Raw genomic sequence first — 15,886 nt, 5'->3', positions numbered from 1 at the left:
ACAGAGCCCTCCTCCCTAACCTGGAAGAGCAGTAAAGATTCTGTCTAACTAAGGGCTTGGCCTGATGGGGCTGGGAAAATCTACCTTGGTCTCTAGACCAGCCCTGGTGCAATCACCAGGAAATTCCCTTTCCAAACAAGCACCACCAACCACTATAGCTACCAGTTATTTAGTCTCTGCTACATGCCAGGCACTGTGCATTATTTTTTTTTTTTTTTTTTTTTTTTTTTTTTGAGACGGAGTCTCGCTCTGTCGCCCAGGCTGGAGTACAGCGGTGCAATCTCGGCTCACTACAACCTCCGCCTCCCGGGTTCACGCCATTCTCCTGCCTCAGCCTCCCGAGTAGCTACAGGCACCTGCCACCACGCCTGACTAATTTTGTGCTTTTTTTTTTTTTTCAGTAGAGATGGGGTTTCACCATGTTAGCCAGGATGGTCTCGATCTCCTGACCTCGTGATCCGTCCACCTCGGCCTCCCAAAGTGCTGGGATTACAGGCGTGAGCCACCGCACCCAGCCTAAATCTTATAACAGCCCTCTATTATGATCCTCATTTTACAGATGAGGGAACGGATGCTGGGAGAAATTCACGAGTGTGCTAGTGAGGGGAAGGTCACATAGCTACTATATGCTGGAGCTGGATTCCACCAAGGCCAGAAGTTTGCCCTCCCCTTTAGTTCTCAAGCTCAGTTAGAGAAGAACAGAAGGAATCAGAGGACAGGTAGATGGAGATGCTGGACAAAAGTCCCAACAGGGTGATCCCAGAAAGTAGAGGCTTGGTTAGGGTAGGAACCGGGAAGAGTCAAGCCGGGCTCTGCCCTACAGTGTAGGACGCATTCCCGAGTGCGGGACGGCCCAAGTAGGCAGAGGACAGAGTCCGAGTCTGTAGAGGAAGCAAATGCACCCTGAAAGGCAGCTCCATGTCCTCTAGACCTGAGCGGGGGTTTGCAGGGCTGGCAACCTGATCCCACGAGATCTCAGACCAAGAACCTATTTGCTCCTCAGATCTGGTGCCCTCTCTCCTGTGCCCCATGGAGAAGCCTGGCTCTGCCTAGTGCAGGACAGACAGATGGGAGCCTCAATATTTGGAGCATCACCCCCATTCTTTCTTCTCCTGAGGACTGACGCAGACCAGAGAACTCCAGAGTGGGCCGGAACCTCCCCACAATGGGGCAGGGGTTAACAGCAGGGGCTTGGGGTCAGACGGAAGTGGGCTGGATCCCACCTCTGTGTGACCTTGGAAAAGTTGGTCTCTCAGAGACTCAGTTTCTTCACCTGTAAAATGGGGATGATAATAATACCTACTTCATAAAGTTGTGACGCACTGCTTGGCGCACAGTAGATATTCAACAAATGGTGGCCACTAAGGCTTGTCTACTCTGCCTCTGGCACCCCCGATAAGTTTGGGAAGAACTTCTTCTGGCACGCGTGGAGAGCTTCTTCCATTCTCCTGGCAGGGTATGGGGAGAGTCCTGGGGACCCAGTGGGGAGAGTCCTGGGAACCCAATGGTCAGGTACACCCCAGATTAAGGGTGGGGGAGGGGTCAGCCCCACAGCCTCCTCAGCTGCACAAGAGGTGGCTGGGAAAGGGTAACCCGAGATAGCAGCTTTGCTGTGGCAAGGTGACCCTCTCTCTGGAACGCCTTCAGGATGCAAACCCGGACCTGGAGCCAGTGTCGCCCTGTACTCCACCGACCCTCAGCACCCTCAGCACCGTTTTCCCAGGCCCCTCCCAAGGCCAGGCTAAAGGCAGGGGATCTCTGAGGACGTGCCAGTCCACCAGGCGCTCCAGGCATCCTCTCAGGCCCGTGTCCAGGAATGTGCTGCATGCCCATGCCCGGGTGGGGAATGCCACGCGAACATGCCGAAGCTCACTGGGTGCTGACACAGGAGGGGCAAGCCGGTGGTGTTAGTGAGTCACAGGGCCCAGGCTACAGCTGGGGAACTGCCGAGGGCTGGGCTAGGGGTGGGGAAGAAGGGGAGACAGTAGCAGATAGCGCGGAAGAGGTTCCAGGGCCTCTCACTCCCACAGTGTCAATCCTCCCACCCCGACTGCCGGGAGGTGCCCAGAGAGAATGAAGAGAGGCAGGGCTGGTGCCTAGGAGGGTGCTGACCCTGCAGCACAGAAAACCCCTCACTGTTTCTGCAGCCCAACTCCCACCCAGCACAAGGTCTGCAGACACCTTCAGGGAATCCCCGCCCCCCACAGGGCGAAAACAGAGGCCTCCAGTCCAGACCCGATTTTGGATTTCAGATTCCTGATGGTGTCCCTCAACTACAGCAGAATCCTCAAGGCACATCTCCTTAGCCCAACAGGTCACCGCCCACTCCCCCCGGCCCCACCCAGCCTCCTTTCCCTCTGCTGCATTAACCCTCTGTCGCCTGTTGATGAGGGGTGGAGGGGGGCACTGCCCCTTTGGTCTTCCGGGGTGGAAAGAGAGAAGCAGCAGCATTCCCCAGACCCCTGCCTCCCCCAGAACTGGGACCTGCAGGGCTTCACGTGTCCTTCCACGTTCTTCCCAGGGCTCCGGCCTCCCACCCCCTGCCTGCCGCTCTGGAAAGTTCACCAGAGCCCAGGAAGCCCTTCAAGGCAGCGATGTGGCCCCACACTCTCGGGTCCTTTGGTCCCTGGAGACTCCTGACCCTTGCCCTTCCCAGAATGAAGGGAGCTTAGAAAGCGCCTGGTTCCGGACTGGGTGGAAAACTTTGCTTTGTAGGGTTCAGACGGGAGCCCAGGGGCCAAAGTGATCCCAGATGGAGACTCCCTAAGGGGGCGCGGGGTCTGAGATTGCAAAATAACCCTCCCTCTCAAGCACCTGGAACTTACGAGTGGCCTTTCGAGGGCACCCCCCACCCCTCAACACACAACACAGTATCACACAGATCACGCCTCGTGATCTCTGCTCTCCCCTCGCCGCTCCGGTATTTCCCTCCAACCTCTCGCCTCAGGGCAAAAGCAAAACTGCGCCTTTAAGAGCCGTTCCGCTTACCTTTGCTCCTTATACCCGGCGCCGCGGTGCCCGCTCCTCCGACCTCCCCCTTCCTCCCAGGCGCACCGCCCGCGGGACTCACAGCGCGTGTCCTGGGGGCCGCGGTGCGCCCGCTCCCTCCCGGGCACGGGGCAGCTTCCCCTGCTCCGGAAAGGTGAGCAGTTCCCCAGAGAAGCTGCAACCTGAGCTGGCCGAGGAGGAGGTAGAAGGGGAGGGGAAGGGAGGGAGTGGAGGAAGGTGGGGAAGAGGAGGGAGGAGGAGGAGGAGGAGGAGGAGGAAGGAAAATGCCCGGCCCCCGCCAGAGTTTTTCACATGTACAAGTTGACTCCGCCCCCGGCCCTCCCGCCCTGCCCACAGCCGCTACCAATCCCCAGGGCTCCCTCTGCCCGGGTGCCCACCCCTTTCTCCCACTCTGGGAACCAGGGTCCAAGTGCCTCTTCCTGTTTCGTTTCTAAAACCGGCCCTGAGAGCCTTGGCTAGGGGATGAGGCCTTCTGGACTGGATCACCCCAGGACACCAAGGCGCCAGGGGTACACTGAGAGTGCCTGCCTGTCTCTAAAAGCGGTGCTCCTACCTCTCCTAGGTACCTCCCTGTACCTGGCGCCCTAGGAACGAATGTGCATGGACAGATTTTGGTGGTCATTTTCTTGACAATAGTAGCCCTCGGGCTCCCCTTCTACCCTATCCAGTGGGACTTGTCACTTACCTTTCCGGACAAAGTTCCCACCTCTCCAGGACCTGAATGAAGCCCTTGTTACCAGCCATCATTCACATTTCCCTCCCCGAAGGATAATTCAACTTGTCCTTTTGGAATTAAACTCCACAGGATATTTGAGAATCATCCAAGAAGGGTTACAGAATGGCTAGTTCAGCTAGTGGCACTCTCATTTTACAGAAGGGGAAACTGAGGCCCAGCAAAGCAATTGAACTGGCCTAAAGTGCCACAAGAGTTCATGGCGAGCCATGATTAGAACTCAGGCCAATGGCCATTGCACCCACATCATCTGACTTCAAGGATCAAAAAAAAAAACAAAACAAAAATCTGGGGATGGGGGTGAAGGGCACAGTGCCCCACCGCCAGGCCCCTCTCATCTCTGCTTCCTCCTGAGGGCTGTGAGGAGAGGAGGTGTGCCTTGGCTCTATGGCACCTCATCAAGGCAGTCTGTGTCCCCTGCCCTACCAGAGGGCTTGGCTGCTGCAGTCTGGGGTCTCCCACAGGGAAAGTCTCCTTAGGAGGGGGTGCTCCACAGTGTACATGTGCTTCTACCTGAACCCTTTCCCTGGGGACTGTGAGTTGTTGAGAATAGAACAGTTTCCTTCTGGAAGACATGGGCCTGAGGTCCCACTGTCAGCTGGAGACAGGAGAATGAAGGAAGACACTGGGCCCATGCATGAAAGTGACCTGTGGGTAGTTGACATCTCACAGAGGGCCTCCCAACTCTTTTTTTTTTTTTTACCTCGCTTTCTCTGCCAAGGCATGCAGATTTCCTGGGCACAGCACTTCCTAAAAATGAAACTGCCAAGTGTTGTCGGGGTGCATGGATCCAGAGCCTTTAGGTGTGCAGCAACCTCCTGGCTCTGTAGTCCAGTGGATGGTGAGAAGCCTGGGGAGCAGGAGGCCATAAAGAGGTTTGGAAGGGGCAGGGAGGGAAAGGGAGAAGGACTATGGCCAAGGAACTGTTTACTGGCGGATTAGAGAGAGTGGGGCCAAAGGGTAGAATTTCAAGGAACTAGGGGGGTGAAGTCAAGAGGTCTCCACAAACACTTTCTCAACATCTCTTATGTGCCAAATGATAGCCAGGGCTCTGGGCACATAAGATGAGTATAACCCAGTCCCTGCCTTCAAGAAGCTCTTGGTGTAATGCGGCAGGGAAGCAAACAGTTAGGATGCTATAGGAGGAGGCTTAGTGTTACGGATGCCTGGGAGGAGCTATTCTGCTTGAGGTGAGGGTTACAGGATGAGGGGACAAGAGAGAGGAGGAAGGATTTTCCCTGTTTTTTCCAGGAGGGGTAATCCCTTGTGCAGAGTGCAGGGGTGACAGAATATGGACCCACAGTTCCATGAGGTCAGAACTTAAAGTCTGGGGTGGAGGTGACACTGTAGAGGCAGGCAGGTGCTGGGTCCTGAAGACCCCCAACGTGGAGGCTGATCCTAGTGGAAAATGAGAATGAGCTTAGACCACACAGCGGCAGCAGGGAGGAGAGGAGGGAACTGATTTGAGAGATAGGTAGGAGACAGGGTCATGGAGCCTTGTGACTATTGGATTCTAGAAGATAAGGGAGCCAACAGTGTCAAGATTAGAAGCACTGATGTGATAGGCTGAGTGGGACCTTGGAGCTTCTTAAGTGAGCCTTGATTCCCAGCACCTCCTTAGATTGCTCTGTGAACTTGGGCAAGCGAACTAAGCTTTCTGAGGCCATCTGTAGAACAAAGTTGCTAAAATCAATCTTGTATGGTTGTTGTACATATTAGGGTAATGTATGCTAAGGGCCTGGCATAGGACTTGGCTCATAATGGAGAACTCAATAGATAGTAAATATAATTACCATCATTCATGCATTCAACAAACATTTATTGAACACCTGCTATGTGACAAGGACTATACTGGATCCTTGCATTGGATAGATGATTTTAAGTCTCAGTTCCTATTCTCATGTAGTTCACTGTTCAGGTGGAGAAAGATATGCAGAGGCAGTCACCTACCAAGGCAATATGGGCTGAGCAGAGGAAGAAGCCCTTAACTCTGCCCAAGAGAATTTGGGACAGCTCCACAGAGGAGAGATGACAGCTGAAATGATGTAGGGCCAGCCACCTGCTCAGAGCCTGTCACATCACCCCCTGCCCCACCACCACCACATGGGATTGCTTCAGAATCTCTGAAAGCTTCAGTTTTGAAGCATCGTCTTGGTTCTCAGGGTTGAAGGAAGAGGATGAACTGCAGGTGGGCATCTATATGGAGCCCAGAGAATGGCACAACAAGCTTTGGCCACCCCAGGAAAGGGCAAGTGCAGATGGGAGGTGGGAGGGGGGAACCAGATAAGAGTGACCCTGGGCAGGGCTTACTAGCTGGATAGGGAGTCCATGATACCCAGTCATACACATCAGTGGCCTGTGTATGTGTGCTCTTTGGGTCAGCCTAATTTTTCTGCTTCTCATCTGTACCATTTCAAAAATTCCCTCTGAACCCCTTGGTGTCCCCTGCCCTCCGATGCCAACTTTCTTTCTGTGCATCTTGCAATAAGCCAAACACAGTAGAAGCAGCACTACCTAGGACTTCCACTAAGGAGGGGCTCCTTCCCTGCTGCCTTACCAAGCAATACTTTGAGCTTTAAAGCCATGTAAACTGTGTGACCTTGGGCAGTTACTGACATATCTGACTTCCTTTCCTGTCCATAACATGGAGATGGTAATAGTCCCTCTCTCATGGGGCTGTTGTGAGGTTTCAATAGGATGTAAACTTGGCACCCAATCAATGCTGTTTCTCTTTTCTGCAGCCCATTAACTCCCTCCTTGCAGAGGGACAGACAACAGACCCTCAGCTGGGGGTTTCCCTGGCACCCCAGCCCCTGGGGCCCATCCCCTGTGGGTCCTGCAGCCCCCTTCCCCTCTGCTAGTCTAATGGATCTGTGGCATCCCCGGGAGGCCCTGGTCACCCTAGCCATGTAGCAGTGTAATGCTGGCAGGCCTGAGCAGCATGACAATGGTGGCCCCAGCAGCAGCTCAGCCCACTGCCCACTCTGCTCCTGTCTCCTCCTCGCTGCCAGTGACATGCCACTGCTCTGCAGATAGGACAGGCGTCCCTGGGTGCCTGAGGGCTGAGCAGGGAAGCTGGAAACAGCTCTCCCTCGCAGACTGTGTGGGCAGTGCATTTGAATAGCATCTGAAAAACCAAAGTTCAAGCCCGCCCCACTTTCCCCTGGGAGGCACAGCATCCAGACAGGGAGAGTTCAGCCAACAGAGAATCTCTTTTCTGCACATTGTCAGGGGCTCCCTTCCCCTCTGGCCCTATATCCGAGCAGGCACAGTCTCTGAAAGCACTGCAGGGACATTTGGGAGGCCGGAGACTTGACTCCGCCCCTAAGGTGCAGAAATCACTTTGTTTCTCTGGGCCTCTGTTTTCCTCTATAGCAAAAGGGGAATAGTGTGAATACCTATCTTTCAGGATGGGAGAACTAAATGCAAAGGTGACTGTGAAAGTGCTTTGCACACTGTAGAACGACCTGCATGTGTATGAGATCATTAGTGTTTGTCCAGAGGGCCCTTTTTAGGGTTCCAGGAATCAAGTAAAGACATGAGAAATGAGAAGCTAAGTGAGAACAGAGAAACTCACCTCAACAGCCTGCCCTTGGCAGGCAGGAGGGAGATTGGCAGCAGAGACCTGAAGATGGACTGACCCATTATGGCCTAGCTAGTTAGAGGTCTGTGAGTCATTGGGACAGCAGGACTTGGCTAGACTGAGCCAATTCTTACTCCTCCTCTGGCTAAACCTAGGCCATTGTTTTCCAGTGATTTATGAGAAGTGGGGATGATTAGGAGAAAAATATCATTTACCTGTAGCAGTGTGATTCCAGCAGAGAGCCTGGGACTTTCTGCTTTATCACTTCACCAAGTGTCATATCCTCCCTTCGCTATTTGTGGTGAAAGTACAGGCATGTGTGCATTTATGCATGTGTTTACACATGTGCATGCACATGCACGCACACACACACACCATTCTAGACTTCAGATGAGGCAACAGCTGCATCCCCAGAGGGTTCTAGGACAGGGTGGACCCATAAATAGAGTCAGCCAATCACAGACCAGTTGACCCTAGCAACTATCAAACCAATTAGAACCCCACCACTACATCCAGCGGTGCCTTCCAAACTTACACACACACACACACACACACACACCCCACCCCCTTCAGGTTGATGCATTGCCATGACAACAGAATCACCACACAAAGCTGGTGTAAATGGGAAAGTGGTCCTTAGGAACAAGACTAGAAGAGTCTTTGGGGTGAGGCTGCAGGCCACACTGGCTGGGGTGGGCCACTGAGAGGACCCGTATGCAGGGTGGGAGAGGAGAGACAGCTGGTTTACCTGGGCTTTCTAAGCCCATTCTTTACCCCTGGGTCTCTGTTTGCTCACCTAGAGAATGGGGTCAAAGACTCCTACTTGGATTATAGTGAAATGTAATGAAATTATTTCTCAACTAATAGATAGGGATAGGAACCGTAGATTTTCTTTTCAGGAAACCTTAAGAATTTTGAGACTTTTGGACCAAGAGAGTTGATTGATCCCCAGGAAGACCTAAAACCAAACCCTAAAACCCAGCTCATGAGTTCATTGGACAGTTGGATCTTAGTTCAGTTTGAAAGTAGTTACTCAATATCTGCCATGGGCCAAGCACAGGTGCTGATTTCAGCTGTAGCCAGGTAGCCCTTGAGGAGCCAGTTGAACATCTTGGTGAAGACTTTTAGAAATGCTCCAGAGGCCTGTTGGATGGGCCTGGAGACAAGTGCTCTGGAGGTGGCTGACCGGGAAAGACCTTGCTCAGGGCCAAGGAAGAAGGCCATGGTTTGAACCCGCAGGCCCCACTGGCCCACTGGCCTTTAGCTTCCAGGCCCCACACCCCTCCTTCAGACAGATGCCAGAGAGGCCTTAACCTTAGCCACTGGCCAATCTGCCAGTGGCTCCTCCTCTGCCCAGTTGCTTCCAGTAGCTCCCCAACAGGAGGCCTTTGAGTCCCCAACCCCTCTTTCAGAATCTGATGAAATCTGAGGAATCAAAACACATATGCACAACATTTTCTGTTCATTTTCATGAGCTATGGGCCTCCTTGTGCTCATTCACAGACTCCCTTATGGCATATGGATCCCCTGCCTCCCTCGTCAGCTCATCCTGATTTTCTCCCTCTCTTGTTGTGTCCAGCCACATCAAACTATGAGTACTTCTCTTGTACACACCACTATGTTTCACTGCTTCATGCCTTGGCACATGTTCCCATCTATAGGAGAGGTTCCCTCCTTCACCACTTACCTAGTAAACTCCTATTCATTCTTCAAAATCCAGCTCAAGAGTCACTGCCTCCTTGACACACACAGGTTCAGTGTTGTCTACACAGGCTTGACCACTCCCCAGTCGGAAGCCTGTCTGTTCGACATACTTCTCTCACTGTGTGCCTCCCAGTGCTTGGGGGCTCCATGTCTTCCTCCTTTACTGGGCTGAGAGCTTCCCGTGGCCAGAGACTACATCTTTAGCCTTTGTATGCCCAGGACTAGTATATATCAGGTGCTCACCGGGGTCTAGGACAGGGGTCCCCAACTCCTGGCTGCCTGTTAGGAACTGGGCCACACAGCAGGAGGTGAGCAGCAGGCAAGCAAGCAAAGCTTCATCTGTATTTACAGCCGCTCCCAGTCACTCACATTCCCACCTGAGCTCTGCCTTCTATCATATCAGTGGCAGCATTAGATTCTCATAGGAGCACGAAGCCTGTTGTGAACTGCACATGTGAGGGATCTACGTTGCATGCTCCTTATGAGAATCTAATGCCTGATGATCTGTCACTGTCTCCCATCACCCCCAGATGGGACCATCTAGTTACGGGAAAACAAGCTCAGGGCTCCCATTGATTCTACATGATGGTGAGTTGTATAATTATTTCATTGTATATTACAAGGTAATAATAATAGAAATAGAGTGCACACTAAATGTAATGCGCTTTAATCATCCTGAAACCATCTCCCTGCCTGGTCGGTGAAAAAAACCGTTTTCCATGAAACTGGTCCCTGGCGCCAAAAAGGTTAGGCGCCACTGGTCTACAGAACCGACACAGCAGAACTGAATTGGCAGAGGAAGCAAAGCTGATGAAGGAAGAAGAGAACAAGCAGACCAGAAGTTAGGACAGGAGCAAGGGGAAGAGAGGTGTTGGAAAGGAAAGGGGAGTCAGGAGGTGCCCACAGAGCAAGACTGAAAGACATCATTGAATTTGGCAACTAGGAAGCCATTGGTAGGGTGGCCATAGGCCCAGTTTGCCTGGGATTCTCCCAGTTCTAGCATTGAAAGTCCTGGGCAGACAGAGATGGTTGGTAGCCCTAGATTGGTGACTTTAACAAGGGCAATTCTGGAGATGGGAGTAGGGCAGAGGCCTGAATGGTGGGCTGAGGGATGAATGGAAGGCGGGAGAGGGAGACTGGGAGAATTGGTGGCTGCTGAGCTGTTTGGCTGAGCTGAAAGGAGGCAGGAGCTAAGGACCGTGCCGGTCTCCTGGCCCTTCCCTCCTGCCCACTGCCAACCCCCTCCCTGGAGAGAAAGCAAACACAGCTGCCGTCAGGAACACTGTGTACACCCTTAATGAATTCTTCTTGAAAGGCTCCAAGCCCACCACCTGGGTTGCCCAACTAGTCCCGCACCACCCCAATCCCCACTGGACCAGCGGTTCTCCGTTGTCTGACTTCCTGCAGTAAGTATTCAGGGGTTTTATCCAGTTGGCACAATGGATCCTGCTTGGACTGGGGATGGCTCTTCTCTTCTTTTGAACTTATTTACAAGTCTCATTTGTCTTTGCATATTAATAGATTGTCTGACTAATTCGATTCTGAACTTTTGTCTTGCTCTGTTGCTCAGGCTGGAGTGCAGTGGCGTGATCTCAGCTCGCTGCAACCTCTGTCTCCTGGGTTCAAGCAATTCTTGTGTCTTGGCCTCCCAAGTAGCTGGGATTATAGGCACCCACCACCACACCCAGCTAATTTTTGTATTTTTAGTAGAGATGGGGTTTCACCATGTTGCCCAAGCTGGTCTTGAACTTCTGACCTCAGGTGATCCACCTGCCTTGGCCTCCCAAAGTGCTAGGATTACAGGCATGAGCACCTTGCCGCCAGACCTCTGAACTTCTTGAAGGCAGGGATCATGCCCATCCTCACTGCCTCCCTTCTTTCCCTCTCTTTCCCCTTTCCTTCCTTCAGTAAACACTAATTAAGTGGTGTTTGAATTCAGTAGTTGTGGTGACTGCCATACTTCCTGCCCTCAGGCACCTCACAGTCTGGATTCCAGCCTCCTAAATAGGGGAGTTTTATATCCCTGAGCAGCAGAAGAGGGTCCTTGCAGGGCTTTAGTGAGTCTGAAAACCCATAACATTATATGCTAACATTGTGAGTGTGTATGTGTGTGTTATGTGAGATAGAGAAGCAGAGACTGTATGTTTCTAAAGAGAGAATCTCAGCTGGGTGCAGTGGCTTATGCCTGTAATACCAGCACTTTGGGAGGCAGAGGCAGGTGGATCGCTTGAGATCAGGAGTTCGAGACCAGCCTGGCCAACATGGTGACACCCTATCTCTACAAAAAAATGCAAAAATTAGCCCAGCATAGTGGTGCATGCCTGTAGTCCCAGGTACTCAGGAGGCTGAGTTGGGAGAATCACTTGAAGCTGGGAGGCGGAGGTTGCAGTGAGCTGAGATCGTGCCTCTGCACTCCAGCCTGGGGGACAAAGCAAGACCCTGTCGAGAGAGAGAGAGAGAGAGAGAGAGAGAGAGAGAGAGAGAGAAAGAGAGAGAGAGAGAGAGAGAGAATCTCTACAAATTAACATGTTCAAGTGGAATCAATCTGCCATATTCAAGTCCTATATATGTGATATGAGCAAATTATTTGGCACTCTGTACCTCTATTTCCTCATCTGTAAAATGGGGGTAATATAGCACCCTTCTCATAGGGCCATGATGAGGGTTAGATGGGATAGGTATATAAATTTAACATAGATCTTGGAACATACTAAGAGGACAATTAACACTAGCTATTGTTCTTTTTGAGAGAAAGGAACTTTTGTGAAATTCTCAAAAGGTTCCAAGAGCCACTGGTCCAGTGAGTGAGCAACCTGCGTGCTGAACGTGGCGTCCCACTGGGACAGTGCTAAGGGGAGTTAGTCTGAGGTGCACTTGAGGCACCTTGAACTTCCCCTCTGCATCTCCCAACCCCCAAGTAGCTCAGGACCCTGTTCTAAACAGCCACTCAGGAGGAAAGACCATTTGAATGGACTGTCCCCAGTGCCACTGAATAGCATGTCCAGGTTAAAACACATGTTAGGAGAGAAACCAGAACTCCGCTTCCCCCAGGGGAATGGATTTTAAAAGAAAAAGAAAAGAAAAGAAGGCCTTTGCTCTGGATCACATTAAAAGCAATAGCCTCCACAGCAATTAGGCACTCGTAAATTACACAGCCTGCCTCTGTCAGCTGGCTCCACACTATCTCATTAGCCAGGGTGCCGAGAGACACTGCACACCCTGCTGGGAGCTGCCTCATTGCCAAGTTCCTGCTCCATAATTAAACACAAAATCCCAACCTCGTGGAGGCACCCGCCGCCCCTCCTGTGGGGGACAGAGAGGCAGTGGGGGAGGGACAGAGCCAAGGTGAGGCCTTGCTTCTAGGAGTGAGCTGTGAGCAGTCAGCCCAGGGCTCTCCCATGACCTTGGGAGGGGATTTGGGACAGGAAGTGAAAGGGCACGGAATGAGAGGAGGGAGTCCCACCTTCTTCCTACCTGAACGCCTGAGACCAAGAGAGAAAATGGGCCACGTTGGCTTCTGCAGGAGATTCTGAGGTTCAACTTTAGGAAATGAGGTCCTAGAAAGAGGGGGATTGTCTGAGAACATCTACTCACTCCACTGCCCACATCTGAGCACACCCACATAGACTCCATTGGTTTGGAGCCAGACAAGGGCTGATGAGATGCATGCTGGGGCACTGTCAGGTTGCTAGACAAGGTGGACCCCAAAGGGCCTTGTAGCCAGAACTGGGTTAAGGAGTGGCCAGCTGGCAGGTGCACAGAATGCCCTTGGAAAGTATCAAGATGTGTGGTTGGAGAAATTGTTTGGGGCCGGGTGCCGTGGCTCGTGCCTCTAATCCCAGCACTTTGGGAGACTGAGGCAGGAGGATTGCTTGAGTCCAGGAGTTTGTGATCAGCCTGGGCAACATAGTGAGACATAGTGTCCCTCCCCCACTGCCTCCCTGCCAGCCCCCCCACCCCTGTTTCTACCAAAAGTTAAAAAAAAAATAGGCCGGTGTAGTGGCTCACACCTGTAATCCCAGCTTTTGGGAGGCTGAGGCGGGCGGATCGCTTGAGGCCAGGAGTTCGAGACCAGCCTGGCCAATGTGGCAGAACCCCATCTATACTAAAAATACAAAACTTAGCCAGGCATGGTGGCACAAGCCAATAATCCCAGCTACTTGGGAGGCTGAGGCAGGAGAATTGCTTGAACCCGGGATGCTGAGGTTGCAGTGTGCTGAGATCACACCGCTGCACTCCAGCCTGGGTGACAGAGCGAGACCCTGACTCAAAAGAAAAAAAAAATTAGCCAGGCATGGTGGCATGTTCCTGTGGTCCCAGCTGCTGGGGTGGCTGAGGTGGGAAGATTACCTGAGCCCAGGAGGTCAAGGGTACAGAAAGCTGTGATCGCACCACTGCACTCCAGTCCGGGTGACAGAATAAGACCCCGTCTCTAAAAAAAGAAAAGGAAAGGAAAAAAGAAATTGTTTGACAAGTGTGTAAGCTGTAAGTGAGCCCCTCACAGTGGTGACTTCTCTAATGACAAGCTGGTGGGACTGGCTGCACAGCAGGGCTCTTGCTTGCTGGGTGAGGAACACAGACCAGATTGGGGAGGGGAGAGGGACCAAGGCTGGCCCCCGCAGTTCTTCTCTGCCCACCTCACAAAGCCCTTGGCATCTCTTTTAAACCTATTTTGAACAAATATTTAAAAGATGTCCCCATGAAGCAGTGACAAATGATTAGCCTGCCCTGCTTGCCCACTTGTCTCCTGCCAACTGTGACCACCAGGGAGGATGGAGAAAATGCTCCAGGCTTCTGAATCCCACCCAACTGCTGCTGTCCAGGGACAGCCAGGATGGGAGCAGAAGCAGAGGAGAGAGGGCAGCTGCCTGGCGCCTGGGGAGGGGAGCATCCCCACCTGCATCCCCACCTCTGAGTTCTCTGGTCGTCCCGCCTGGGCAGCTTGGGCCAGGATGACGCCAGGCTCCAGCTCCAGCCGCTGGATCTTGATAGGGAAGGACAGAGCCTGAGAGAAAATCGTGCAAGCAGGCGAGTTTACTGGAGACAGAGACAGGGGACCCAGAGGCCAGAGCCTCTGAAACCAGGGCATGGGTAGAAGATGTGGATGCTATTTGGCAGACATTTGCATGGCATTTTATGTTAAAACTGAGCCACTGCATTGGTGCCAGCATTCAGCTAGAGCCCAGGGAACTAACTCTGCTGACAGCATCAGAAAAGTGCATAGAAATTCCCCCAGCCCCTGCCCTTCTCCCCTGGTGGTTCTTCTGGCTCCAATTGGCCCCAGGCCAACACTGTGATTTTTTGGCCCCAGATCTTGCCTCCACCGCTCACTCTTTGCCTCCCTCCATCCTAGGGGCAGGGGTGAGGACAGACTTGTGGTGGTGACTCAGAGTGTTGTCCTCTGAGGTTAGCACAGCCCAGAGAAATGCCCGGGCAGGCTGTGTTCCTCCCACTCCTCACTCAGAAGCTCAGTTTGAGAAGCAGCCCTTGGCCAGGCTTGGGACCTGTGCCCAAGACTGAGGAGAGACAGCTGTCATGCCCCAACCTCAGCCTGGAGGCACCAAGTTCCCTTGCCTGCGGGACCAGCACGGAGTCCTTAGCCCAGTCCTGGGGATGTTGTTTCCTGGAGTTGCAGCTAATTTCCCTAATTTCCTCCCAGACCAGCTTCCCCTTTCCCTGAAGCCTGGGAGGGGCTGGGACCCACAGAGCAGCCAGGTGTGGCCCCAGGGATAAGAGTGGGGCCTGGCAGAACAGGGAGGGGTCAGGACCTGGGAACAGTCTGGACAGGCGTAAGGTGGGAACCACATCGGGACCAGTGAGGAAGAGCCTGGGGTTTAGACTCGCACTTCCTTTTCCTCTCGGCTGAGCCCCGGGACCAGAATGGTTCCAGTTACCAGGGCCTCCCGGGAATGCAAGCTGAGTGATAGGGCAGTTATCAGGCCTGTTCAGCTCAGACACCCCTGAATGATCAGCGAGACTCAGGGGCCCACACCCACATGAACAGGTATATCCAACCAAAATGCACCTGAGTGTGTCAGTTACTACCAGGTGCCACTATCTGAGTGGCCAGGCAGTGGTACCTGGCAAGTTTACCTGGTACAATACCTGAATATATCAAGCTGCCTCCAAATCAGACCATTATGCCAAATGTCCTGGCAAGAAAGACATACTCCAGGGGGCCAGCTCCTCCAGGGGCCAGCCTAGCTCTGCAGGTTGGTATCTGGCAGTACCTGGTGTAGCCAGGGAAACAAAGGGATTTGTCAGCTGGAATCTGTACTTCCCCAGGCCTACTATTTGCTCCAGGAGCTCTCCCGTGGGTCCCCCGGGGCACTGATATTTCTCAGCATGTCTTCCCTAGGATCCCAGCCATTCATGATCCCACAACTGACTTTGCTCTTAGTCAAACAGCTGGTGACTGAACCTGATCCAATATTTACTCCTGGAAAGAGGGCAAAGGGGCAGGTGTCACTCCAGGCAGCCTGGAACTGCAGTTGGCTGGGTCTGGGGGAAGGGAGGGGAGGGTTTGCTATTTTCTCTGGTGCCAGAGGCTTTCTCAGACCTTAGGTATTCCCCACCTAACCATCTGCCTCCTCTTCCTGACATGGGCTGGGGAGGGGACTGGAAGGGAGCTTTGTCCCCAGGGAACTGTCCCTGAGAGGGGTGAAGCCAAGTAGATGAGGAACCTCAGCCGGGAGGTGAGAAACCCAGACCACCAGCTTGAGAGGACAAGGAGCCTCCCCAGCGGGGGGCTTGCAGGGAAAGGAGGCTGTCCTGCAGGAAGGGGCAGCCTGCAGGATGCCTGCAGGTTTCCCTGAAAGGGGATGGGGAAGAGGAAAGACTGGGGACTGGAGTGAGAC

At 53.0% G+C, this 15,886-nt stretch overlaps 1 protein-coding gene across 5 annotated transcripts in view, besides 1 other annotated feature; it reads right to left on the bottom strand.

The window, feature by feature from the left end:
• CDK18 (cyclin dependent kinase 18) overlaps positions 1-3,198 on the bottom strand; it is a 28,122-nt gene extending 24,924 nt beyond the window's left edge. For 4 of the 5 annotated variants that reach the window (NM_212503.3, NM_212502.3, XM_047422207.1 and 1 more), the window contains exon 1: positions 3,071-3,198. The gene's annotated coding sequence lies outside the window, so the exon portion shown is untranslated. Of the gene's footprint in view, positions 1-2,988 lie in introns of all 5 variants that reach the window. The other variant, NM_002596.4, reaches the window with a different exon arrangement.
• Positions 621-1,274: an enhancer, noted in NCBI's record as "H3K4me1 hESC enhancer chr1:205475721-205476374 (GRCh37/hg19 assembly coordinates)". NCBI's record gives its function as "activates a minimal SCP1, AML or CMV promoter by ChIP-STARR-seq in primed H9 embryonic stem cells {active_cell/tissue: H9 hESC(primed)}" and the evidence as "EXISTENCE:reporter gene assay evidence [ECO:0000049][PMID:30033119]".
• Positions 3,199-15,886: the final 12,688 nt, after the last annotated feature.

Source organism: Homo sapiens, chromosome 1 (genome assembly GCF_000001405.40).
Source record: "Homo sapiens chromosome 1, GRCh38.p14 Primary Assembly".
In the NCBI taxonomy this organism is placed as follows: Eukaryota; Metazoa; Chordata; class Mammalia; order Primates; family Hominidae; genus Homo; species Homo sapiens.
Note: the sequence above shows the minus strand (reverse complement) of the source record. Positions and strands in the feature narration are given on the sequence as shown.